Below are 21,662 nucleotides of genomic sequence, written 5' to 3' on the forward strand. Positions count from 1 at the left end.
TGGATTTCATTTATAAGTGCCACATATCCCTAAGTATTTCACATATATTTCATATCATCTTCACAATAACCTCATGAAGCAGCATTTGTTATGCTCATAAAGATGAATTCAAATGGTTAAGTGGCTTGCCCAAGGTCACAAAAACCAAATGGCAGTATACCTACTGCTTTGTGTAATGCGTTCTACGAAAGAGGAAACTGAGCCTCAGGGCGTTTTGTTAAAGTTGCCTGCACCTCTAAGATGGTTGAGACCACAGTCTCCCCATCAGTGGGCTTCGCTGCTGGAAGGCCCCTTGTCCTTTGGGGCTTGGACTGCACCACTCCGGAGGATGCATCGTCATATCAATATTTGCACACTGCCCCTGACCTTGTTAGGATATTATTTATGGCCGCGATCAGAAGGTCCCGCTCGCTCCTTTCTCTCCCCTTGGGCTGCGGAACAGAGTGGCTGGGAGAAGTCCTCCTAGACAGGGTTGAGAGTTTGCCGACGGCCCCTGAGAAGCTGGGGCGTTCCGAATTGGCTGAGCGCGCGGCCGGGGGCGGGGAGTTTGCCAAACGTCCCCGGCCGGAATTTCTGCCTTCTAGAGCCGCGAGCCCAGAAGCGGGGAGAAGTTGGTGAGGTTGGCTAGGGGAAGGTTGCCAGAAATTGAGGACGGACTCCCGCCCTGGTCGACTGAGCTCCCACAGGAGCGCCTCTGCTGCGTCTCGGGGCTGAGTGTGGACGCGCCGCGCGCGGCCCCGCCAGGGCTGGTAGTTTGCAGACCGTCCCTGCCGCGGCCCGCTCGGCGGCGGCCCTGCGGCTCCCGCGGCGGCGGCCCCGGGCGCGATCCAGCCCAGGTAGCCGCGCCGCAGGCTCGGGGCGTCGCGACCTCGCGCCTCGGGCCGCGTGGGCACGGCGGCCGGCGGGTGCTCCCGGCTGCTGCTGCTGCCCAACAAGGAGGTAAGAGCTGCCGGATCCGGGTGATCGCGTCGGAGGGAGCTCGTCATCCCCGCGGGGTGATGCGCGCAGAGGGGACCGCGGGGGGCACGGGGAACCAGGCGCGGGCGAGGAGAGCCCGCACCGGGGTCGGCGCGGTCGGGGGCTTCCTTCCGTCGCTCCTCTGCCGCCTGCGTGGGTGCCCCGGCCCCGGCCGCTCTGCAGGACGCCGGAGTGGAGCCGGGAGACGCGCCTTGAGAAGCCCACCTGCCCCGGGCAGCCCCTCCCAGGGGAGGCTGAACCCCCCCCGCCCCGTGACGAGGGGGCTTGTTGGCATTCCTAGGGACAGTCCAAAGGAAGCTCTGGTTGCGCGGGCTGGAGGCGAGCGGCGGGGGATGGCAGATGGGCGCTCGGACCGCGGAGGAGCCCGGTGGGGGTCACGCCGCAGGCGTGGGCCGGGCCGGGCCGGGGTCCTCGGGACCCAGGCGCACTGGGCGGGCTCGGCCAGGGGCCAGTGGGGAGGAAGGAAGAAGGAGGGAGGCTGGCCCCGAGCCCCTAGGGAGGAGGGATGCGGCGGGCTGGCGCTCCGGGCCAGAGGATCCAGGAGGCCCGGGGGCGCCCCGGCTGTTAGGGGACGGCCCGCGGGTCCGTGATCCCGCCGGCGCGCTCAGCCCTGCTGCCGGGTCTGGGAGGCTGCAGGGAGCGCAGAGCCCACACCCGCGCACACACTCCCCGAGAGCATGCTCAGTGCGGCCCTGGGAACTTCCTGCCGAGTCGTGAGCCGCCCCGGCCCACTCCCGGCCCTCAGCTCGCAAAGTTGGGGGCGGCGGGGCTAGGGAGACGTGGGCGCCGCTCTCGCCTGTGGCTCTTTCGCGCCCCTGGCCCCTGCCTCGCCTCAGTTGAGCTACGCGCACTGCTCTCCCCGGCTGCCCTCACAGCCGGGATTGGGGGCGTGGGTGTTAGCCCCTGCTCCCCGTGGCGGGGTGGCCAGAGGCCTGGAGCGCGGCTCTCAGCCTGGTGGACCCGCGCGCGGTGCGCCCGCTTGGTGCCCGGACCTGGCGCGGCGAGCAGGCAGGGTGCAAGGGGGTGTGTGAGCCCAGGGACGCTCGCGCATACACTTGCTGTCACACACAAAGCCGCGGTTTTGTAGCCGCCGCGCGGAAGAGCCGAAGAGGGAAGGGGGTGGCGCTTGCATTGTCCAGAGGCGTTTGGAGCGCAGAGGGGGTGCTTGGCTCCTCAGGGCTGCGGGAACCGGGCGATGTGGATGGATTTGGTATAGGGCCCGGCCCTCCTGGGACCGACTGCCAGGCCTGGCCCCGGGCGGCCGCCGCTATCTGCACCTGGCTCTGGCGGCCCAGTTAGGGAAGATGAGTACTTCTGGGTCTGTGACGTTGGGAAGGGGCAAACTCAGTTGTGTGTGGGGTTCGGGTGGATGGCAACATCGCACTTGTAAACATACCCAGACCAAAGTGTTAGAGGTATCTCATTCTAAGGAGATGCGAGTGGGAAGCTGGGTCGTTGAACTGACCCCCACCCCCAGTTTATTGTCAGGACCTGATCAACTTGGTTTTTACTCCAAGAGACTCCCCAGCGTTAATCTCTGTGTCATGCACATCCTAAGCCTTACGGCTGCATCAGAACTCCCTTGTCTGTACCGAGAAAATCACTGAACAGTTTTTCATGAAGGGCAAAGCATCTGAGATTTGTGGTGAATGAATTTTCACCCTCCTCCCCCCGTCCTCACTGCTTTCCTATAAATTATTTTTGTTGCTATTGTTCAGGGCTGAGATGGGCATCCTCAGATTTATCTGGCAGTAAAGATTAGAGCAAAGCTCTCCTGTCTTTTTTTTTTTAAAGATGGAGTTTTGCTCTTGTTGCCCAGGCTGGAGTGCAATGGTGCGATCTCGGCTCACTGCAGCCTCAGCTTTCCGGGTTCAAGAGATTCTCCTGCCTCAACCTCTCAAGTAGCTGGGATTACAGGCGCCCGTCACCACACCCGGCTAATTTTTAATTTTTAGTAGAGACGAGGTTTCACCATATTGGCCAGGCTGGTCGCGAACTCCTGACCTCCGGTGATCCAGCTGCCTCGGCCTCCCAAAGTGCTGGGATTACAGGCGTGACCCACCGTGCCCGGCCTAGCGCAAAGCTCTCCTTTCTAGAGAGCTTTTTAGTTTTTTCCAGTTTAGTTTTTTTCTCTTGCCCTCCTCCATCACCCTGCTTTTAAATGCTCATTTAAATGCCCATGTTGTCAGCCTTACCTGGAGAGGCCCTGAAAAGCAAGGTGATGGAGGAGGGGCAAGAGGGTGACTGTTTCACCCTTTGTAGGGGCTGGGAGAAGAGGAGAAGGAAGTTGCTCTGTCTGGCATTTGCCTCTGCTGGGGTGGCTCCAACTGGATATAGGGTTTGGGCTTTTTCTTTCATCTCCTCCTTTGTTTCAGCCTGCCTTCTTCACTCTGGGACACTCGTGACTGGAGTCATTAGGAGAAAGGAATCTGCAGTCCTGGTTTGGAGCTTTGCAGGGTTTGCACCTGCACAAGCAGCCACCAGTTGGTTTTAAGGTGAACTGCAATGGCAGGAGGGGTGGAGGGCTCTGCCCAGATCTGCCGGTGGCAACCGTATGCTCCAACTGCTGCTGCAGAGCAGCTCATGGGCTTTTGGATCTCCTCAGCAGTGTGCATTTCAAGTGCTTTGTGTTTGGAAGTGTGAATATAGTACTCATTTATATATATTCCCACATCTGTATACATTCTTATAAAGAGGTGTGTGCATATGTACATGCATATGCCATGTTCTTTGGTAGAATCTGGAAGCTGGAAGGGACCTCAAGAGATCACAGGAATTCACATAATCTCTCCTCCCATTCAATTTTTTTTGTTTTAAAATAAGCAACTTACCTTCTGCCCAGCTGTCCTCCAAAAGCATTGAAATGCTAGACTCCCCTGTTACCCTAGCTGACGGGGAGGCCTTTGGAAGTATGAGTTCCCAGGAACCATTCTAGTTGTCACTCTGACATTTGACACAACTTTTCCCTAATGTTCCATGTGTCTCAGGATCTAAGTCACTACAGAGACATCCCTGGATTAATTTTGGCAGGGGATGGGCAGTGACTAGTGTACCCTGCAGAGATGTGTAGAAAACTGCAGAGCAGTCATCTGTAAGATCTGGGTTGGAAAGTTTATGTCCTCTCCTTCCCAGGGTCATACAGACAGGTGACTGCTCTGCTCTTTCTCAAGAGGCTTTAAGCGCAGTAGGGACTCACTGTCTTCCTTCCTCCTTGTGTGTCATGGGCTCCTGGCCCTAGGAGGCATGGAGGAGGAGTGGTTGGGGGTGGCATTCTGTGTTGATGCTGTTATAACAGGCCTCAGGAAAGTGTGTGCTGTTAGCTTTGTCTCTGGGGGTTTCGTATGGTGAGTTTCAAAGTTTGGGGAAGGCTCCTGGTGTCAGGTGAACAGGTTGATGGGTAGTTTTGATTACTGTAATTCAGATGATACTTGAGAAAAGGGAGGAAATAATTTTATACGGGGGGATTGCTATCTGGGTGACAATTGGGTGATAGGGTGAGAAATAAATAAGCATTTGGGACTTGTCAGTGCAGGTTTTACCAGGCTGCCTTTAAAGTTAATAATTGCTTTGAAGTATGGAATCACTCTTAGTAGCCAGAAGATGGCTACACTTTCAAATTTCTCTTTGAAATTAAGTAATGATCTCTCCAACCCTTAAAGTCTCTAATCTAAGCCATATCCCTATACTGTTTTACATCCTATGTCAACATCCACATTTGTGACTGATGCTGGCTGCTGATGAGCATTTTTCCAGCATCTGCCATGTGCTGTGCACTGGGCTGGTGCTGGGTATAAAGATGTCCTCCTAAATTATCTCACTTTTAATTTAGCAGACCTTCTCTTACTGTGTGTTAATACAAACTAATAGCTCTTGGAAAGCTGCCAAGGTGGGTCCCAGGAGCCTTAGCACTGTAACCACGTTCTCAGCTAGAGGAGTTTGGACTCGAGCTGTGTGTTTGCCCATTTGGACTGTTGTATTTATTTTTTTCATTGCCACAATTAAGTGCATCCTTCCCTGACTTTGTCATATCTGCAGGGCTATGTGTGTGCATGGGAGGGGTTGGAGGAATCACTTTATTTGTTCAAAATCCCACAGTTCTCTTGTCTAAACATACAATCTTCTGGAATGGGAACAGGGCTTTCCTCTCGGGACTCTGCCCAGTCTTAAAAATCAGGACAGGCAAGGGTTATAAGCTACTGTGGCTTGGTTTGGTGGGAGCAGTTTGTCTTGTAAACTAGCACTCTCTCTTTGTCACCTTCACTGCCAGGCTGGCATTAATGCCTGCTGGACCTTGACCCTTGCTCAGGTGGCTCCCTGCAATGGCTAAGGAATATTTCTCCACTCTATTTCCTGACAAAGTGAACTCAGGAGTGAGTTACACCCAAGTACTTCTGTTACTAGTAAGAGTTAACTACTGGTGCTTGCAATAGGTTTACTTTTTAAAATGTCAGCACTTCAAGGTTATCCCTAGAATAATAACAGCCTCACTTATTTGCATCCCTTTGTGATTTTTGTGGCTGGCCCTTGAGGGAACATGTGCCACCCACCCACTCCTGTTTGAACTTCACGCTTTAAAGTTGTAGTTCGGTGCACAGACTTCTTATAAGTCCTGTCATGCTGGTAAAATGTTTTTTAAAAATTATTATTATAAATATCCTACACAGAAAAGTCTTCCACTCTATTAGTTTTGGGTCTTTTCCATGTCTGGGTCCCCTCATGGGAGTGTGTTATGTTGGTGATCATCGTAGAGATTTTATTATATGTCTTGGTGGAGAAACATCAAGAAAGGGTAGACAAGAAAATAGGAATGATGGCGATGAAAAAAATCCACCTTCTCCGATTGGCATTATTGCAAATGCTTCTTTTGTACTACAGGTATTTCACTCAACAATGAGGTAGATTCTGTTGTTATTCCAAGTTTATACATGGAGAGACCATAACATCATGAGGTCAGGAAATCTAGCTAAGGTTACAAACAGCTACTCAGTGGCAGAGCAAGGATTTGAAGCCAGGTGGTCTAGATCCAGAGCCAGTGTGGGTTGGGCTGTGAGTAGTGGTTAAGGCTGGTGAGTATGCCCTGTACTAGCCAGCACCTTCTTTCCAACCTAAGCCGAGAGGGCTTCATAGATACCCAGGGGCACTGCAGGGAGGGCCCTCCTCTTTCTAGCTGAGGTCACCGAGGTGCAGAGAGGTGGAGGGACTTTCTCAAAGTCTCACCAGCAGGCAGCAGTGGCAAAGCTGGACCTCACATCTCCTCTGTGGTCCCACAGGAACAATTGGTAACAGTTGATAACGGGTGCCTGCCTGCTTTGTTTATAGCAATGATACAGGAAGAGAATTGATGGCCACTGGGCATCTGTTCCTCACTGGAGCCCACTGTGTGCTCACACCCAGCTTCACCTTGGAATGTGGTAGGGAGCAGGTTGGTGTGGCCCAGTTCCCTCCTACCATCCCCAGCTGGGAGAATCTAAGTGACGTATATCCTTTGGAATGAGGGGTTCCCTTTCTCATGTCACCTTTTAAGTTTGACATGATAAGAATCCAGTCTGGGCTGGATTTTACATTTCACTCTTATTAATTCTCTGTGTTTTAGGGCTCCTGGCTCCTCTCAGCATTGATTTCCTTTCTTTAGGAGCATGGGGTAGGTGAGGAGTGACCTGGAAGAGGTATCAGGACCATTCCTTAACATTTCTGATAATCGGTGCCTGTGAAGACATTCCCGCAGTGTCTGCGGAGTCCTAGAAAGAGAGCAGAGGCCACACAAAATGCTTTTCTGAACCCAAGATCGCCATACTTTGTGGAATCTTCCCATTGGACATAGCAGTGAGCACCCGTTTCCTTTCCTGCCCTCACCTGTTCCTGATTCGGAATGCTTCTGCCAAATAAATAGTCACTGGCTACCCAAGGAGTTTAAAGTCTAAGCCTGGTCAATGCACACCCAGAAGAGTTAAGTTCAGTGATAAAGGGAAATGTAGATGAACATACTAATTCAGCCCATGTGACCACTTTGGGCCTCAGCTGTTAGGTTGAGAAGTAAGAGGGGATTGAATGCGCTCCAAAGATCCGTTCAGTTCCTAATGTTGCTTAATTCTATACATGTGGCAAAAGGCTTGTAACATAAATTAAATGAAATTCCCTTATTAAATTAAAAAGAAGGTTGAGAACACATTCAGGTTGTTTTTGCCCTGGCCAGTAGACTCTCTTTAGCAGGCAGCCGAAAAGCTTAACTAAGAAGAATCAGCCCTTTATTGTTACTCTCTTTGGGGATGTTTATCTTTGTATGTTTAGAAATAAAAAACCTTGGTCCTTACTTTCAGCCCTGAAATAACCTGCTTTCCTTTAGTGAAGCTATTTTTTCCCTTGGGAAATTGAGATTCAAAGAGTAGAGAAGATGACCAGGCTCATAGCCTTCTGTGGTTCCTCGCACAGTGCCCTGGGGACGTGGCTAGGTGTTTACACACTGCCACAAGCAGGGCCAAATTCTGTCTACACATTCAGTGTGTAACTACTACCTTTCAACATAAGGAAGTTTGGTATCAGTCTTCTTGCAGCTGCTTTTTTTTTTTTTAAACCATCTTATTTTCACCTCCAGTTTGTTATTTACAAGCATCCATGCCGGTGAGGAGTTTTCTGAATGACCGATTCTTTCTTGGATGCAAAGAGAAAGTACCATCTCTGCCTCATGCTCTGTGTGATTTCTCTGTTTTCCTTTGGCACCTTTCTTAGTATTTGTTTGGTATACTTCCTTCGTCCCCTTTCCTGTAATTTTTTAGAGCACCTAGTTAGAGGCCCCACGTGGTGAGGATATGGCAGGGAAGGGGAGTTTCCCTCTATTCCCTTCCCCCCAGTAATCTTCATCATGCGGTGTCCCCAGTCCTGTGTAAGACCTTTGCAAACACAGCTTCAAGCCCCTCTGTTCATCTTGATTGCCTTCCCTCTGTAAAAAAGTTCTAGTCTCTGTGACTAAGAATGTTAACATTCTTCCTTTATTTGATTTTTAGCTATTATGCTTGGTGGGTTTAAAGATGACATTGTTATTGGGCAGTCTTCACTGTACATTACACACAAATGTAATTCTCCTGGGTAAATACGATCAACTTTTAGAGGTTCACCATTCCTCCTTTGCAATTCTTATGTCCAGTGAGCTCCTTCAAGGAAAAGGTTTCCCCCCCCCCCAGGCTTGTTCCAACCCCCCCAAAACAAAAAAAGAAACATGTAGGTCCAATAAAGAAAGGAGTGTCATGGAGCTCTCATGGGTACAGGCTGGAAGCTCCAGGCCTGGCGTGCTGGAGTCACGAGATGAGCTGTCCAGGCAGCATGGCATCGTGAGTGAACTCCGACCGTGGCAGGTGAGGCTTCTGCACTTAGCTGGCTGTCTTCATGTGGGCCGATTCTGTGGTTAGTGATTCTGATTTCTCATCTGAAAAGTGGTGCATCACTTAGCCCCTCCCACACTTGGAGGGTTCTACTAGTGTGCCTGCGTGGCTGGGTTCTGCACACTCAGCTACTTTAGTTTCTTTAGTCTATCCTTAAAAAGATTCCTAGGTGTGTTCCTGATTTTGAGGTTCCGTTTGGTCATTATGCTCTTTCAGAGTTCATCTTTTAAAATCAGTCTGTGGACATTTTTTTTTTCCTCTTAGCACAGTTTATGGTCTCATGCAGGTCAACAAATTGGGACTCTGAATGTGAGTGTGTGTGTCCACACACCACTAGGGCTTATTACCTTATTGTCAATGTTATCTTAAGAAAAAGTGGAGGCTGGGTGCAGTGGCTCATGCCTGTAATCCCAGCACTCTCAGAGGCTGAGATGGAAGGATTGCTTGAGCCCAGGAGTTTGAGACCAGCCTGAGCAACAAAGCAAGACTCCTGCCTCTACAAAGAAAAAAAAAAAAGAGAGAAAGAGAAGGAGAGAATGAAAGAAAAGAAAAAGAAAAGAAAGAGAGAGAGAGAAAGAAGAAAGAGGGAGTGATCAGAGAGCTGCAGGTTTGGAGTAGCCATCAGTTAAAGGAAGTCTGCAGAAAGTTTCTGTGAAAGGATTTTGTTACTATGGCCTTTCCCCTAGTACCAGCTTGTTAAGTAGTATAGGTAGGGGATCCTTGGTAATACTGTGTATTAAGATTTTATTGTTCTTCCTGTAAAGTGTTTTTCATGATAATGAGTTGCTTATTCTATGATAGTGCCTTTTCTCTATTTCTGTAAGCAGAATCAAATACAACTTTCAAGTTTTATTAGTTCTTTTTTTTTTAGAGACAGGGTCTTTCTCTGTCACCCAGGCTAGAGTGCAGTGGTGCAATCATAGCTCACTGTAACCTCCAACTCCTGGGCTGAAGTGATTCTCTTGCCTCAGCTTCTTGAGTAGCTAGGGCTACAGGCATGTGTCACCACGCCTGGCTAAATTTTTAAAAAAAATTTTAGTTTTTGGAGAGACACGAGTCTTACTATGTTGCTCAAGCTGGTCTCGAAGTCCTGGCCTCAAGCGATCCTACTGCCTTAGTCTCTCAAAATGCCTTAGTCTCTCTTAGTGCTCACAGTTGTGAGCCACCGTGTCTGGACAGCTTTCCATTTTTTGATGCCATGTCTGGTTAATACTCTTTAAGTTTCCGAGTTTCTTCCTCCTAGTTCAGTGGTTTCAAGTGTGACTGTTCTATTTCCTCACTGTCAGTCTCTAATAGAAATACTACAAGATTACTTCTATTGCTGCTGTAACAGCCACAAACTTAGCAGCTAAAGCCACACACATTTATTCTCTTTGAATTCTGTAGGTCAGAGGTCCCTTATGGGTCTCACTGGCCGAGATCAAGGTGTCTATTCCTTTCTGGAGGCTTGAAGGGAGAATCGGTCTCCTTGCCTTTTCTAGCTTCTAGAGGCTGCCCGTGTTCCTAGGCTCATGCCCCCTTCTCCAGTTTCAATGCCAGCAATGTCCAGCTGAGTCCTTGTCTCTCTGCCATCACACTGATACTCTCACCAAGCTGGGAAAAGTTCTCTGCTTTTCAGGATTGATGTGATTAGATTAGACCAAGCAGGTTAATGCAGCGTAATCTCCCATCTACAGGTACTTGATATAATGCCATCTCCCTGTAAGGCAACATAAGCACAGGTTCCGGGGATTAGTATATGATGAACATCTTTGGGGGCCCCTTTTCTGCCTACCACAGTCCTCAAAACTCCAAATAAGGAACTGGTTCTTTGCTCTTTATGTAAAGGAACTATTTTTCTTTGCAAAGAAGGTTTACTGTTATAGGATCTGTTCTTCTCCCCTTTGAACATATTCAAATCAACTATTTGCCAAAATATTGGTATTTAAATAAGGTTTGAGGTCTGCTAAGGCCAGATGTTGAGCTGAGTACTTTTTTTTTTTTTTTACTTTTTTTACTTGTTCTGGCTGAGCTGAGTACTTTTTTTACTTGTTCTGGCTTATGTAATTGTGAGCCATCCTACTGAGAGGTGACAATGTGCTAGCAGCCCTCGCTCGCTCTCAGCACCTCCTCGGCCTCAGCGTCCACTCTGGCCACCGTTGAGCAGCCCTTCAGCCCGCCGCTGCACTGTGGGAGCCCCTCTCTGGGCTGGCTGAGACCGCAGCCGGCTCCCTCTGCTTGCGGGGAGGTGTGGAGGGAGAGGCGCAGGCGGGAACCAGGGCTGCAGCACTCACAGGCCAGCGCAAGTTCCAGGTGGGCGTGGGCTCCGCGGGCCCCGCACTCGGAGCGGCCGGCTGGGGCAGTGAGGGGCTTAGCACCCGTGCCAGCAGCTGCGGAGGAGCGCCGGGTCCCCCAGCACTGCCGGCCCGTCCGCACCAGGCTGGAATTCTCGCCTGGCCTCAGCCATCTTCCCGCGGGGCAGGGCTGGGGATCTGCAGCCCGCCATGCTGGAGCCCGCCCCGCCCCACACCGCCCCACACCGCCCCACACCGCCCCACACCGCCCCACACCGCCCCACACCGCCCCACACCCTGGCGGTGGGCTCCCGAGTGGCCTGAGCCTCCCCAGTAGCCCCAGCCTCCCCTACGGGCACCACCCCTTGCTCTGCTGCGCCGGGTCCCATTGACTGCCCAAGGGCTGAGGAATGCAGGCGCGGGGCGTGGGATTGGTGGGCAGCTCTGCCTGCGGCCCTGGCACAGATCCACTAGGCGAAGCTAGCTGGGCTTCTGAGTCAAGTGAGGACTTGGAGAACTTTTATGTCTAGCTGGAGGATTGTGTATGCACCAATCAGCACTCTGTGTCTGGCTCCGGGGTTTGTGGATGCACCAATCAGCACTTTGTATCTAGCTGATCTGGTGGGGACTTGGAGAACTTTTATGTCTAGCTAGAGGGTTGTAAATGCACCAATCAGCACTCTGTGTCTAGCTAAAGGTTTGTAAATGCACCAATCAATGCCCTGTGTCTAGCTAATCTAGTGGGGACTTGGAGAACTTTTGTGTCTAGCTAAAGGATTGTAAAAATGCACCAATCAGCACTCTGTGTCTAACTCAAGGTTTGTAAACGCACCAAGCAGTGCTCTGTGTCTAGCTAATCTAGTGGGGACTTGGAGAACTTTTGTGTCTAGCTAAAGGATTGTAAATGCACCAATCAGCACTCTGTCAAAATGGACCAATCAGCCCTCTGTAAAATGGGCCAATCAGCAGGATGTGGGTGGGGCCAGATAAGGGAATAAAAGCAGGCTGCCTGAGCTGGCACTGGCAACCCCCTGGGGTCCCCTTCCATAGTGTGGAAGCTTTGTTCTTTTGCTCTTTGCAATAAATTTTGCTGCTGGTCACTCTTTGGGTCCACACTGCCTTTATGTGCTGTAACACTCACTGGGAAGGTCTGCAGCTTCACTCCTGAGGCCAGCGAGCTCACAAACCCACCAGAAGGAAGAGACTCCGAACATGTCCGAACATCAGAAGGAACAAACTCCGGTCACGCTGCCTTTAAGAACCGTCACACTCACCGCGAGGGTCCGCGGCTTCATTCTTGAAGTCAATGAGACCAAGAACCCACCAATTCGGGCCACACTACTATTACAGTGGGGAAACCGAGGTGCAAAGGAAACTTGCCCAGGGTCACACAGCCAGAACTGGCAGAGCCAGGGTACAAAAGGCTGAATTCCCGAAATTAGTATTCTTTTCACTCTGCTTTTCTGCCTTACAAGCGATAAGGCAAAAACACAGTGAGAAATGGTAATGGAAAACGTTAAAATAATGTAAAACCTCTCTGCTTCTGCCAGGGTGATGATGATACACGATAAATATTTGCCTGTGGTAGATTGATTTTTTTTTTTTTTTTTTTTTTTTTTTTTACTATTGGCCTCTGTTAATGGCCTCCCTGAACTCCCTGTATCCACTATCCACACTCTTTGCCCTATAACTTTGCAGGTTCTCTTCCTCCTTCCTTCTTCCCCCACCCTGGTCCCCCGCCCCCTTTTGGCTATGTGACTTGCTTTGGCCAGTGGGATGTTAGCACATGCTGTGTATAAACAGAGTTGTAAAAAGAGGCTGTTTCTGATATCCTTTTACAGGACTGGGCTTGCACCTTCAGACCCCGCCACCTCCATGAGATCGTGCCCAGGCTAGCCCAGTGGAGGGGGCCAGGTTTGTGCTTGCCGATTTCATCATAGACCAGCCAATGCCATCTGACCTGTCAGCTGTGTGCTGTCTCCTGAGCAGGTCTAGGTCGGCCAGGGTTACCTGAATCACCCACTGGCTGACCTGTAGAGATGTGTAAATCATCCATGGTTGTTGTAAGCCACTGAGTTTGGGGTAAGTTTGCTATAGAGCAGTGGTTAACTGATGCACAGCTCGTATCAGATGTTTGAATAGTGTAGAAAGTAATTTTAGTGTCCTTTTAAAAATCTTTTTGTTAGTTACTTGTAACTAATATTCTTTTAAGATTGTACTTAAGTTCAAGAACTTGGCCATTGTATCTGCCCCTTTTTCCCTTTTTAGAAAACCATTAAAATCCTTTATATTTTTACCAATTACACTCAGAAACAGACTAGTTTTCCTTTCTGAAACTGTTTATCTTGTAATATGGTGGCTTTTGACCCCACCCTGGAGTAAGAAATACATGCTGAATCAGAGCTCACATATGGAAGTAGGTAACAGTAAGAAAAGTTTCATAAAAAGTACTTAACCTTTATCGTGGCCTCTGGTGTTTTCTATTTTGTCCTATTTCATTGTCTTAAAAAATTTTGGTCAGAGGTCAGGCGGCACGTGACTGGCTGCCTATTTTGTAAATAAAGTTTTATTGGCACATACCCAATCCCATTTGTTCTTCTGTTGTTTATGGCTACTTTCACACTACAATGGCAGAGGCCAGTGGTTGTGACTGATAAGAGATGACCTGGCCTACAAAGTCTCAAGTATTTACTCTCTGGCCCGAGAAGAAAAAGTTTTCTGACCTTTGCACTGAATGGATTTCATAACCCATCAGTTAGTTGTGACCTTCTGTTTGGAAGACCCTGTTCAAGTGACCCTTTGGTCTCCTCATACCCTTGTAGAAATGACAGTGAACACATGTGGCAGATGTGAAAACTCACCCTTCTCTGTTTACTTGGAATCAACAATTAGGTCCTTGCCATCTAACATTACACCCGATTGGCTTATATAGGAAACTTTTCAAGCATTTCTAAATTGTTTCATTATAAGTAGTGTTATGCCCCCCCTTCTTAATTTATTTTTAAATAAGGCTTTCTAGTGGAAACTAACTGGAATTAAAATGGGCACAAATTCCATTCAAGTGCTAGTTATTTATTCATTAGATCCCGGCAGTGCCTTTTTTGGTGATATAATGGAGTCCATTAGTGGGAAAGGCAAAGAAACAGTGATCCTAGCTTCTCTTACACCACCTTTCTGGCAGCTGGGCCTTATTGCCACATTTCTGAATTAGGGTGGTATTATATCTGAGCAGAATAAAATTTAGAGACATTAAATCATGGACTTCTGTGGTTGAAAAGACTTTGGAATTTTTTTAAAACTCAGATTTAATTGGCTCCTTAAAGGCCAAATTTCTCCAATACCTTCATTTTTCCAAGCCTGTCAAGAAAGGACAACATTGTTATTTATGTTGCATGGCTCATGGGATTGATGAGAAAGAGCTGAGGCAGAAAAACTTCAGAGGGATCTGGATATGTCTTTGTAGAATCTGAAATGCCAGGTGAAGGATGGTCCCTGGCCCATTTATTTATTGTCAGTGAGAATGGAATCAAAATAAATGAGCTTAAACTACAGCATGAAGAGCTTAGGTAAAATCTGAGAAAAATCCCCCAAATAGGGTCCTTTTATTGACATTAGAATAGGTTATCCTGTAATCTTAATAGATTCATTGCACACATCAAGTCAATATGTAGAGAAACTGGGTTGCAGCAGAGAAAGGTTTAATCAAAGGGCCACCGAATGAGAGGGGAGGAAACCTCAAATCCATCTCTCTGAGGAGTTTGGGTTAGAGTTTTTAAGGGTTTTGGAAAGGGGCAGGCTTGGCGGTTGTTGATTGGTCGAAAAATGCAGGGTGAACATGGGACAGGGAGGTGAACCACCTGCATTCTCATGCTGATCCGTTCCTCTGTGGGGGTCTTCAAACTGGTTGTTGGCATTCAGGGTCTGAAAACATTTTAAGCCATCCTTTAAAAAAAAGACCTTATGATACTACTGTCAGAGATCCTGTCTATAGGAACAATGGGGATGCAAATCAATTCCTAAACTGTCTTAGGACCCCAATATCAGAAATCCTACTCATAGGAACAATGGGGATGCAAATGGCCACTATCTAGTGCTATGTGACTTTTAGCAACAGGGAAGCGGGCCAAGGTGCAGCCTGACTAGTGCTTCATTGTAACCATATTTCAGTCCAGAACCTGGCATGCAATTCTTATCAACCCTGTGGGGATGGTTTCACTCCTAAGCGTTTTTGATGTTAGCTGCTGCCCTTTGTTCAGATGGATGGCTGTCCTTCTAGGTGGTTGGATGCCTTTAATTAATAAAGATTCTTCTGGGTGCTAGCAACAGAAACCTGCCAGACCTTGCTTCAGTGGAAGGAGAGAACTCACATTAGGAACACAGGAATAGGGTCCAGGAGCCCCCTGCAGCCTGGGATCGAGGCTCTAGGAACCCCACAAATCCTTGTTGCTCTCCTTTCTGCTTCCATGTGTCTGGCTGCTTAATTCTCCTCCCTGCCTATTCTGCTTTTCCTGTCCCAAGGGCAGAACTCTGAGTAAGGGGATTTGTTACAGGGTGTAAGCCACACAATAAGGCTGATCTTTCTTTTGTAATGCCAGTTCTGGTTTTCCCTCAGTGCCCAGCTTGAGATCACCCAGGGGTGGGCAGGGCGTGGTACCTGGAGAGAGGACTCTGGTCTAGTCCCAGGCCCTACAATGTTATTGGGGGCATATCAGCAATTTGGGGGGGCAATTTTGATTGTCAGTGATTGAGGAGAGCTACTAGCATTTATTGGTTGGGGACCAGGGATGCTAAACATCTGTAATGGGTAGCACAGTTGTGTATCACAAAATGTTTCCTGTTACCCACTAGACAATCATGGACAAGCAAAATCTGAACCTAGACCTAACTTAGGTATAAGCAAATAATCGTTGCACATTTTAAGTAAACATCGACGTTTCCAGTTAATGAAGAAAGGTTGTGCTTTCTTTTGTTAGGAAATTTACCATTTTGGAAACTCATGTTACCTGTAGAATTAGCACATCACCTGTATCAGTCCATCTTTGTAGCTGACATGACACATTTTAAAAATTTCACATTAAAATGAAGGCATCTAATGGCTCCATTATGTCTTTTAGAGTGGTCTGGCCCAGCTAATTGCATATTGAAATACATTAGATTTGTCATAAATTACTTTCCTTTATTGTCTTTTCTGTCAATCTTAGGACATTAAATGTATATGTTTGAAATTGTGTTTAGGTAGGTTATCTGAGCATTTGGTTCAGATAGTAAAGAGAGTGTTATAAGTTCACTGTAAGCCCCAGGGGCTTTGGGACTGATAGGGTTTAGAACATTGCACTAGGGGAAATGAATTGTAAAGTAATGTTTTTTCTCTAGACTAATGATTCAGCTGAATTAATACTTTTAATGTGAAGCATTTTTAAAGAAAGCAAACCAGCCTGGTGCGGTGGCTCACACCTGTAATCCCAGCACTTTGGGAGGCAGAGGCGGGCGGATCACGAGGTCAAGAGATTGAGACCATCCTGGCCAACATGGTGAAACCCTGTCTCTACTAAAAATACAAAAATTAGCTGGGCATAGTGGTACGTGCCTGTAGTCCCAGCTACTTGGGAGGCAGAGGCAGGAGAATTGCTTGAACCCGGGAGATGGAGGTTGCAGTGAGCCGAGATCGCGCCACTGCACTCTAGCCTGGCAACAGAGTGAGACTCCATCTCAAAAAAAAAAAAAAAAAAAAAAAAGAAACCTTGGCCCACATGTGGGGTATAGCAGAAATAGAGATATTGGTCCCATAGTGCTCCTCCCCGAGCCACAGCCATGGGTGGTGGACTGTCCTTGTTGTACAACCTCCACCCTCCCATGCATACAGGTAGTTTTTGGCTCTTGCTGGGCCATGGCTCCCGTGTAGGTCTCTGCATTATTCTGGAAAAACTGCAGGAATGGAAGGTAAAATTAGGTTGTCACATGAGTTTCATAACTGCACAAGGTTTCAGGGAAACCTGTGAACTTGCATGGGAAAATATTACACTTTCATTTTCCCTAACTTCTAGCCAAAATTTGGCAATTCTTTCACTTTGGAAGGTTGGACATAAGTCACAGTAGTATTAGTGCTGTTTGTGACTTTGTCACCAATAGAAATCTAATATTTTCATGTCACATTAGAGATGATTAACAGGTGTGTTGAAATACCAGTATTCATCACCACTTTGAAATTACGGTGGTTGTTGCACCTGTTGCTAGATAGTATTATTTAATGTGTTAAGATACAAGCTGCAGGTATTGCCATTTACCAATTAAAAAAAAAATTGGGGGGCCAGACGCGGTGGCTCATGCCTGTAATACCAGCACTTTGGGAGGCCGAGGTGGGCGGACCACTTGAGGCCAGGAGTTTGAGACCAGCATGGCCAACATGGCAAAATCCTGTCTCTTACCAAAAATAAAAAATTAGCTGAGCGTGGTGGCGGGTGCCTGTAATCCCAGCTACTAGGGTGGCTGAGGCAGGAGAATCACTTGAATCCCAGAGGCAAAGGTTGCAGTGAGCTGAGATTGCACCACTGCACTCCAGCCTGGGCAACAGGGTGAGACTCTGTCTCAAAATACATGAATAAATAAAATAAATAAATAAATATAAAAAATATTTTGGTAACAGTATTTCAATATCATTGATTTCCTCTGCAGTCCTGTGTATTTTATTTTATGCATTAAAAAAGTCTTTCTGAGAAGGAGTCCATAGGCTGCCCCTAGTTTGCCAAGGGGTACAGTAGAATTGTGGTGTGTTCTAGACCCTGCACACCCACTGCTCCCCTTTCCCTCCTCTTCATCAAGAGTTGACCTCCTCCTGACTTGGGCTTTCTCCAAGGCTGTCAGGTGCGTTTGTAGAGTGGGTGTGGGCTTATCTCCAACTTTTTATCTTAGACCTGGTCAAAGAATTGAGCTCTATTCTTGGCTCACTGGTTTATCATATCCAGGGAGGCAAGTTTGTCAGAACGTTCCTCTAGCAAGGCCATATCTGTCACTACAAGGTATGTGATTCATTTAAAGCCAAATGTCCTAATTATCTGAATCCTAAACAGAAGTCTGATTTCAGCTTCAGTTTCAGTTTTTCAAGTGGAGAAAACCCACAGACATTCTGCAGGAAAATGCCCTAAATACACATTAACCCCCTGTTTTCCTCTTGGTATGCTTTAAGGTTATATCATCGACAACAGCACTCTAAGAAATAGGTCTCTGCCCAAGAAATATGTTGTGCACATGGTTGCCAGGGGTGTTTTCCTGTTGGCGTATGGCTTTGGACAGAGGGGCATCCCCTAGGAATTGGGGCTTGGCTTGGAGGTAGTCAGCGCCATAGGAATGCACTTCCTCTTGGCTTCCCGCTTGCCACTCAGTGAGTCCAGCCCAGAGGGTGCTCTGCCGCTGCTGTACCTGGATTTCTGAGAGTGGAGTCAGCCCTTTTCTGTTTCTGGAAACTTCTCTTGATAGGAAATGACTCTGTCCACAGAAGAGCTTATTGTACTGCACCTCGTCAGGCTGCAGACTTGAAGTCATTGCTGTGCTGCCATGGGCATCTCTTTCCACTTGTAGCTATATTTAGAGCATGAAAATGCTGAACATTTCCTTCCTGTTTCTTTAGAAGTCAGAGCGGGGAGGGATTTCTTGTATTCAACACAAATCCCTCGGATAACCATATGAAAAGATAATGGGAATAATAATTTTTCGTTCTTTGTTTAAAAAAATATTAACGCTGAAGCTTGGACTAGAATAGTCTCTATTTTTTTTTTCTGCTTCATTTTTCTATGTTATTGGTCAGTTTTATTATTGAGGCAGTTACATTACATTATATTCTTACTGTTTAAAGATAATGTATTTGTATTTAACAAGTTTATCAATGAAGGGATAGCATCTCGCCTTTCTTTTCTTTTTTTTTTTTGCAAATGGAAATAGCAAAGTTATGTTGCTTTCTGAGTCACTGATTGATATTACAGATTTGTGTTCAAGATTGTTGGCACAATTAGGCCTGTTTTTTTTTTTTTTGTTTTGAGACAGAGTCTTGCTCTCTTGCCCAGGCTAGAGGGCAGTGGCGCTGGTCACTGGTCACTGGTCTCAAACTCGTGGGATCAAGTGATCTTCCCACCTCAGCCTCCCAAAGTCCTGGGATTATAGAGGTGAGTCTGACCTAGGCCTAATTTTTAAAGTGAGATACCTAACATAATTTTATTAAGAAGCTGTTCTTCTATCATTGCCCTTTTTTTTTTGGCTTGAGAAAGCAAGAAATTCACCAAATTTACTCGCTAAGAGTTAGTGATTCAGTCTGTAGGATCTCTGACCACTCCCCTCCCCCACTCTGAACCACATTCACTCAGACTGTTTCATATTTTAATCCTACTTTGTGGAGAGCATAAATAAAGTCCAGAAGGTCTAAAGTGTAGGAGTTAAAGTACCCATGTGTGGTCCATCTTCTGGTCAGATGGATGACAGAATTAATTGTGCAGCTGCTGGACACGGATAGATCCCATTACCATTTTATAGACCATATCACAGTAGAAAGTGGAAAATATAGGTCCTGTCTTCAACTTGACAACCAAAAGGTGAGGACCTCACACATGCAGATGAATACTTTCTCTCTGAGAACAGACCTTTTGGGCATGGTAGCTGGTGTACTGGGAATACTGGGTCCTCCTGTTACCGTGTCTTGTGCACACTGTCTAATGTCATGCTTGGGATAACCATGTATATTAGCTTCCCTTATTTTCACCGGACAAACGTGAAACTTATGAGGGAAAGTGAAGTATGTTGTCTGGGGTGACTCACATAATAAGCAAGGTGGTCATATAATTTATCATCCAAATCAGGATGCTTTTGAGAGTGAAGAGGGGTGCTATTGATGATTATGCTGGGATAACAGGCATAAAAGGGGATATATGGTCCCCCTACTGATAAGGTACAGATTGGGGGTTAAATGCAGGTCTCTGATCTTAAATTGTGCCTACTTTCCATTACATGCTGTTAGATCAGGCCACTCTGTCTGCAAATGAATTGGTAAGGCACAGATGGAAGAACCTTCTGAAGATGAGTTCTGCTCTAAGAATACAGCCGAAGAGAAATTCTCTAAGGCTAGGCGAAAGGTTTTTTTGGCCAGAGAAATGTCTACTAGAGATCTTCTTTCATGTAAAAACATGGAAAGGGTTTTGTTGGAAAGACAGTTTCTTCCTTCATAAAAATGGTTTTCCATTGTTTGTTTAAAAGAATGGGTCTGCTTTAGCATTTATAAGAAAGACGGAGTAAGAGTCACAGAATCTCATATCCAGGGCAAACATCTTCATAGCCTGTGGCTGTTAAGATCCAGAATGGTAGATGAATTCTTTAATAGTAAGGTGTGTAGATACAAATTTACTACTCTTGTTTTTAGCACTCTGGCCGTGGCTGCTATCAATGAGGCAATTTTGTGTATGGTATAATCTTACTCTGAGATGTTAAGGTAAAAATCCCAGCCCTCAAATACACTGCTTTGCCACACTGGGGCTTGTGACAAGCCTTTGTACCTCTGTGAGCTTCAGACACAGGCATGCAAACACACCCAGCGGAGGCTCAGACATGAAGACAGATGAAGCGCAGGGTTCTTATAAATGATATTACAGCCCAGCCATGAAAAGGAATGAAAAACCTCGCACAGTATCGCAGGAATTATTTGTTCGCAGTGTCATGTTCTCTTGCAGCCTTCTAAGCCAGCTGAGGTGCAAAATCAAAAGTTTCATAACAGAGTGGTTCTGTAAATACCAAAGACTGTAAAACAGCCCTGCTAGATTACCACTTGTCATCAGGTAAGCAGTGCCAGAGGATGACATGCCATCCACAGGCCAGGCCACTGCTGGCAACCCAGAGCAAGCAGAGGGAGGGGTGCTGGTTATGCACTTGCTGGCCATTCGAGAACAGCTTTTAGTTGAGAGTTGTTATGTGGCCTTCCTTCTACACCCAGGTTTAGGGAGGACCTGCCTTCTGACTCTTGGAACACCTGTAAAAGCATGAATCCTAAAGTAGGTAAAGTGAAACTTGCTGGTGATGAAGAAAAAGTCCTTCCTCCATCAGGAGTGACCAGCAGGACCTGGAGAGGCACTTGGGGGCTCACGGCCTGCACCTGCCCCACTGGGTTGTGTGAGCCACTCCCTGAAGAGGACAATGATCTCTGGCTGTCTTTATGAATGGTCAGCTCTCCCCCTGGAAATAGGAGAACCACTGGCTACAAAACAGGGAGAAAAAGAAAAAAGAGAGGCATGAGAAGGCAAAGCCAACAGAGAAGGAGGCGGCCTGGGTGTGGGAGCTGTGGCCGTTCCACCGTGGGAAAGGAGAGATGGGACGATGTGGAGCAGCTGTGCTGCTGTGGGCGCCACAAGTCTGCTTAGAATGGGGGACAAGGCACTGGCTGGCAAGTCAGGAGATCTGGGGACTGACGCTTTCCCTGCCACTTTGTGAGCCTCTGTGTCTTCCACAAAAGTGGGCGAGTTGGGTCAGATGTTATCCAGCGTGACTGCCAGCTCTAAAAGTCTTTAATGCCGAGCCAATGAGCCATTCTTGTAGGGCTTACCAGTGTGACTCAGTAAACATTTGATGAGTACTTTATATCAGAAACAGGGCACAAAGGTTAATATAACACCTGTGCCCACATCCAGGGTGGGGCCATGTCATAAGCAGTCCCATTGCTCCAATAATCGGAGAATAGCTAACTTGTACCAGGCAGTGTTCTGGATACTTTCCATTGATTTATCTATTCATGAAATACATTAGCAAAATGAATTAGCAGGAAAAAAAAGTGCTAGCTGGGCACTACTGTTCTGATTAGAGAGAGGAGGAAACTAAGGCACGGAGAGGTTAAGTAATTTGCCCCAGGTTTCGTAGCTAACAAGTGAAGGAGCCAGAATTTCAACCTAGGGAACCTAGCTCCAGAACCCACACTGTGTGGCTGCTGTGGAGGTGCTATGGTTTGAATATTCCCTCCTAAACAAATGTTGTGATTTAACTGCCATTGTAGCAGAATGAAGAAGTGAGG

General features: G+C 47.4%; 1 protein-coding gene and 1 non-coding gene across 13 annotated transcripts in view, besides 8 other annotated features; both read left to right on the forward strand.

Annotated features, from left to right (window-relative positions):
* MGAT5 (alpha-1,6-mannosylglycoprotein 6-beta-N-acetylglucosaminyltransferase) overlaps window positions 583-21,662 on the forward strand; it is a 334,687-nt gene continuing 313,607 nt past the window's right edge. For all 12 annotated transcript variants that reach the window (XM_006712534.4, XM_047444397.1, XM_047444400.1 and 9 more), the window contains exon 1: window positions 583-939. The gene's annotated coding sequence lies outside the window, so the exon portion shown is untranslated. The remainder of the gene's footprint in view (window positions 940-21,662) is intronic.
* Window positions 774-873: a silencer, noted in NCBI's record as "silent region_11971". NCBI's record gives its function as "represses an Ori minimal core promoter by ATAC-STARR-seq in GM12878 lymphoblastoid cells {active_cell/tissue: GM12878}" and the evidence as "EXISTENCE:reporter gene assay evidence [ECO:0000049][PMID:35858748]".
* Window positions 894-1,053: a silencer, noted in NCBI's record as "silent region_11972". NCBI's record gives its function as "represses an Ori minimal core promoter by ATAC-STARR-seq in GM12878 lymphoblastoid cells {active_cell/tissue: GM12878}" and the evidence as "EXISTENCE:reporter gene assay evidence [ECO:0000049][PMID:35858748]".
* Window positions 1,104-1,173: a silencer, noted in NCBI's record as "silent region_11973". NCBI's record gives its function as "represses an Ori minimal core promoter by ATAC-STARR-seq in GM12878 lymphoblastoid cells {active_cell/tissue: GM12878}" and the evidence as "EXISTENCE:reporter gene assay evidence [ECO:0000049][PMID:35858748]".
* Window positions 1,404-1,613: a silencer, noted in NCBI's record as "silent region_11974". NCBI's record gives its function as "represses an Ori minimal core promoter by ATAC-STARR-seq in GM12878 lymphoblastoid cells {active_cell/tissue: GM12878}" and the evidence as "EXISTENCE:reporter gene assay evidence [ECO:0000049][PMID:35858748]".
* Window positions 1,864-2,013: a silencer, noted in NCBI's record as "silent region_11975". NCBI's record gives its function as "represses an Ori minimal core promoter by ATAC-STARR-seq in GM12878 lymphoblastoid cells {active_cell/tissue: GM12878}" and the evidence as "EXISTENCE:reporter gene assay evidence [ECO:0000049][PMID:35858748]".
* Window positions 7,773-7,840, forward strand: MIR3679 (microRNA 3679). Its single transcript, NR_037450.1, has one exon. It is a non-coding gene; the product is annotated as a microRNA 3679 (primary transcript).
* Window positions 14,240-14,862: an enhancer, noted in NCBI's record as "NANOG hESC enhancer chr2:134891163-134891785 (GRCh37/hg19 assembly coordinates)". NCBI's record gives its function as "activates a minimal SCP1, AML or CMV promoter by ChIP-STARR-seq in primed H9 embryonic stem cells {active_cell/tissue: H9 hESC(primed)}" and the evidence as "EXISTENCE:reporter gene assay evidence [ECO:0000049][PMID:30033119]".
* Window positions 14,863-15,484: an enhancer, noted in NCBI's record as "OCT4-NANOG hESC enhancer chr2:134891786-134892407 (GRCh37/hg19 assembly coordinates)". NCBI's record gives its function as "activates a minimal SCP1, AML or CMV promoter by ChIP-STARR-seq in naive H9 embryonic stem cells {active_cell/tissue: H9 hESC(naive)}" and the evidence as "EXISTENCE:reporter gene assay evidence [ECO:0000049][PMID:30033119]".
* Window positions 15,506-15,675: an enhancer, noted in NCBI's record as "experimental_52669 CRE fragment used in MPRA reporter constructs". NCBI's record gives its function as "activates a minimal promoter by MPRAs in K562 erythroleukemia cells, with activity observed for both the introgressed and non-introgressed 2:134892514 variant alleles {active_cell/tissue: K562}" and the evidence as "EXISTENCE:reporter gene assay evidence [ECO:0000049][PMID:34662402]".

The sequence above is a fragment of the Homo sapiens genome, chromosome 2, assembly GCF_000001405.40.
Source record: "Homo sapiens chromosome 2, GRCh38.p14 Primary Assembly".
NCBI classification, from domain to species: Eukaryota; Metazoa; Chordata; class Mammalia; order Primates; family Hominidae; genus Homo; species Homo sapiens.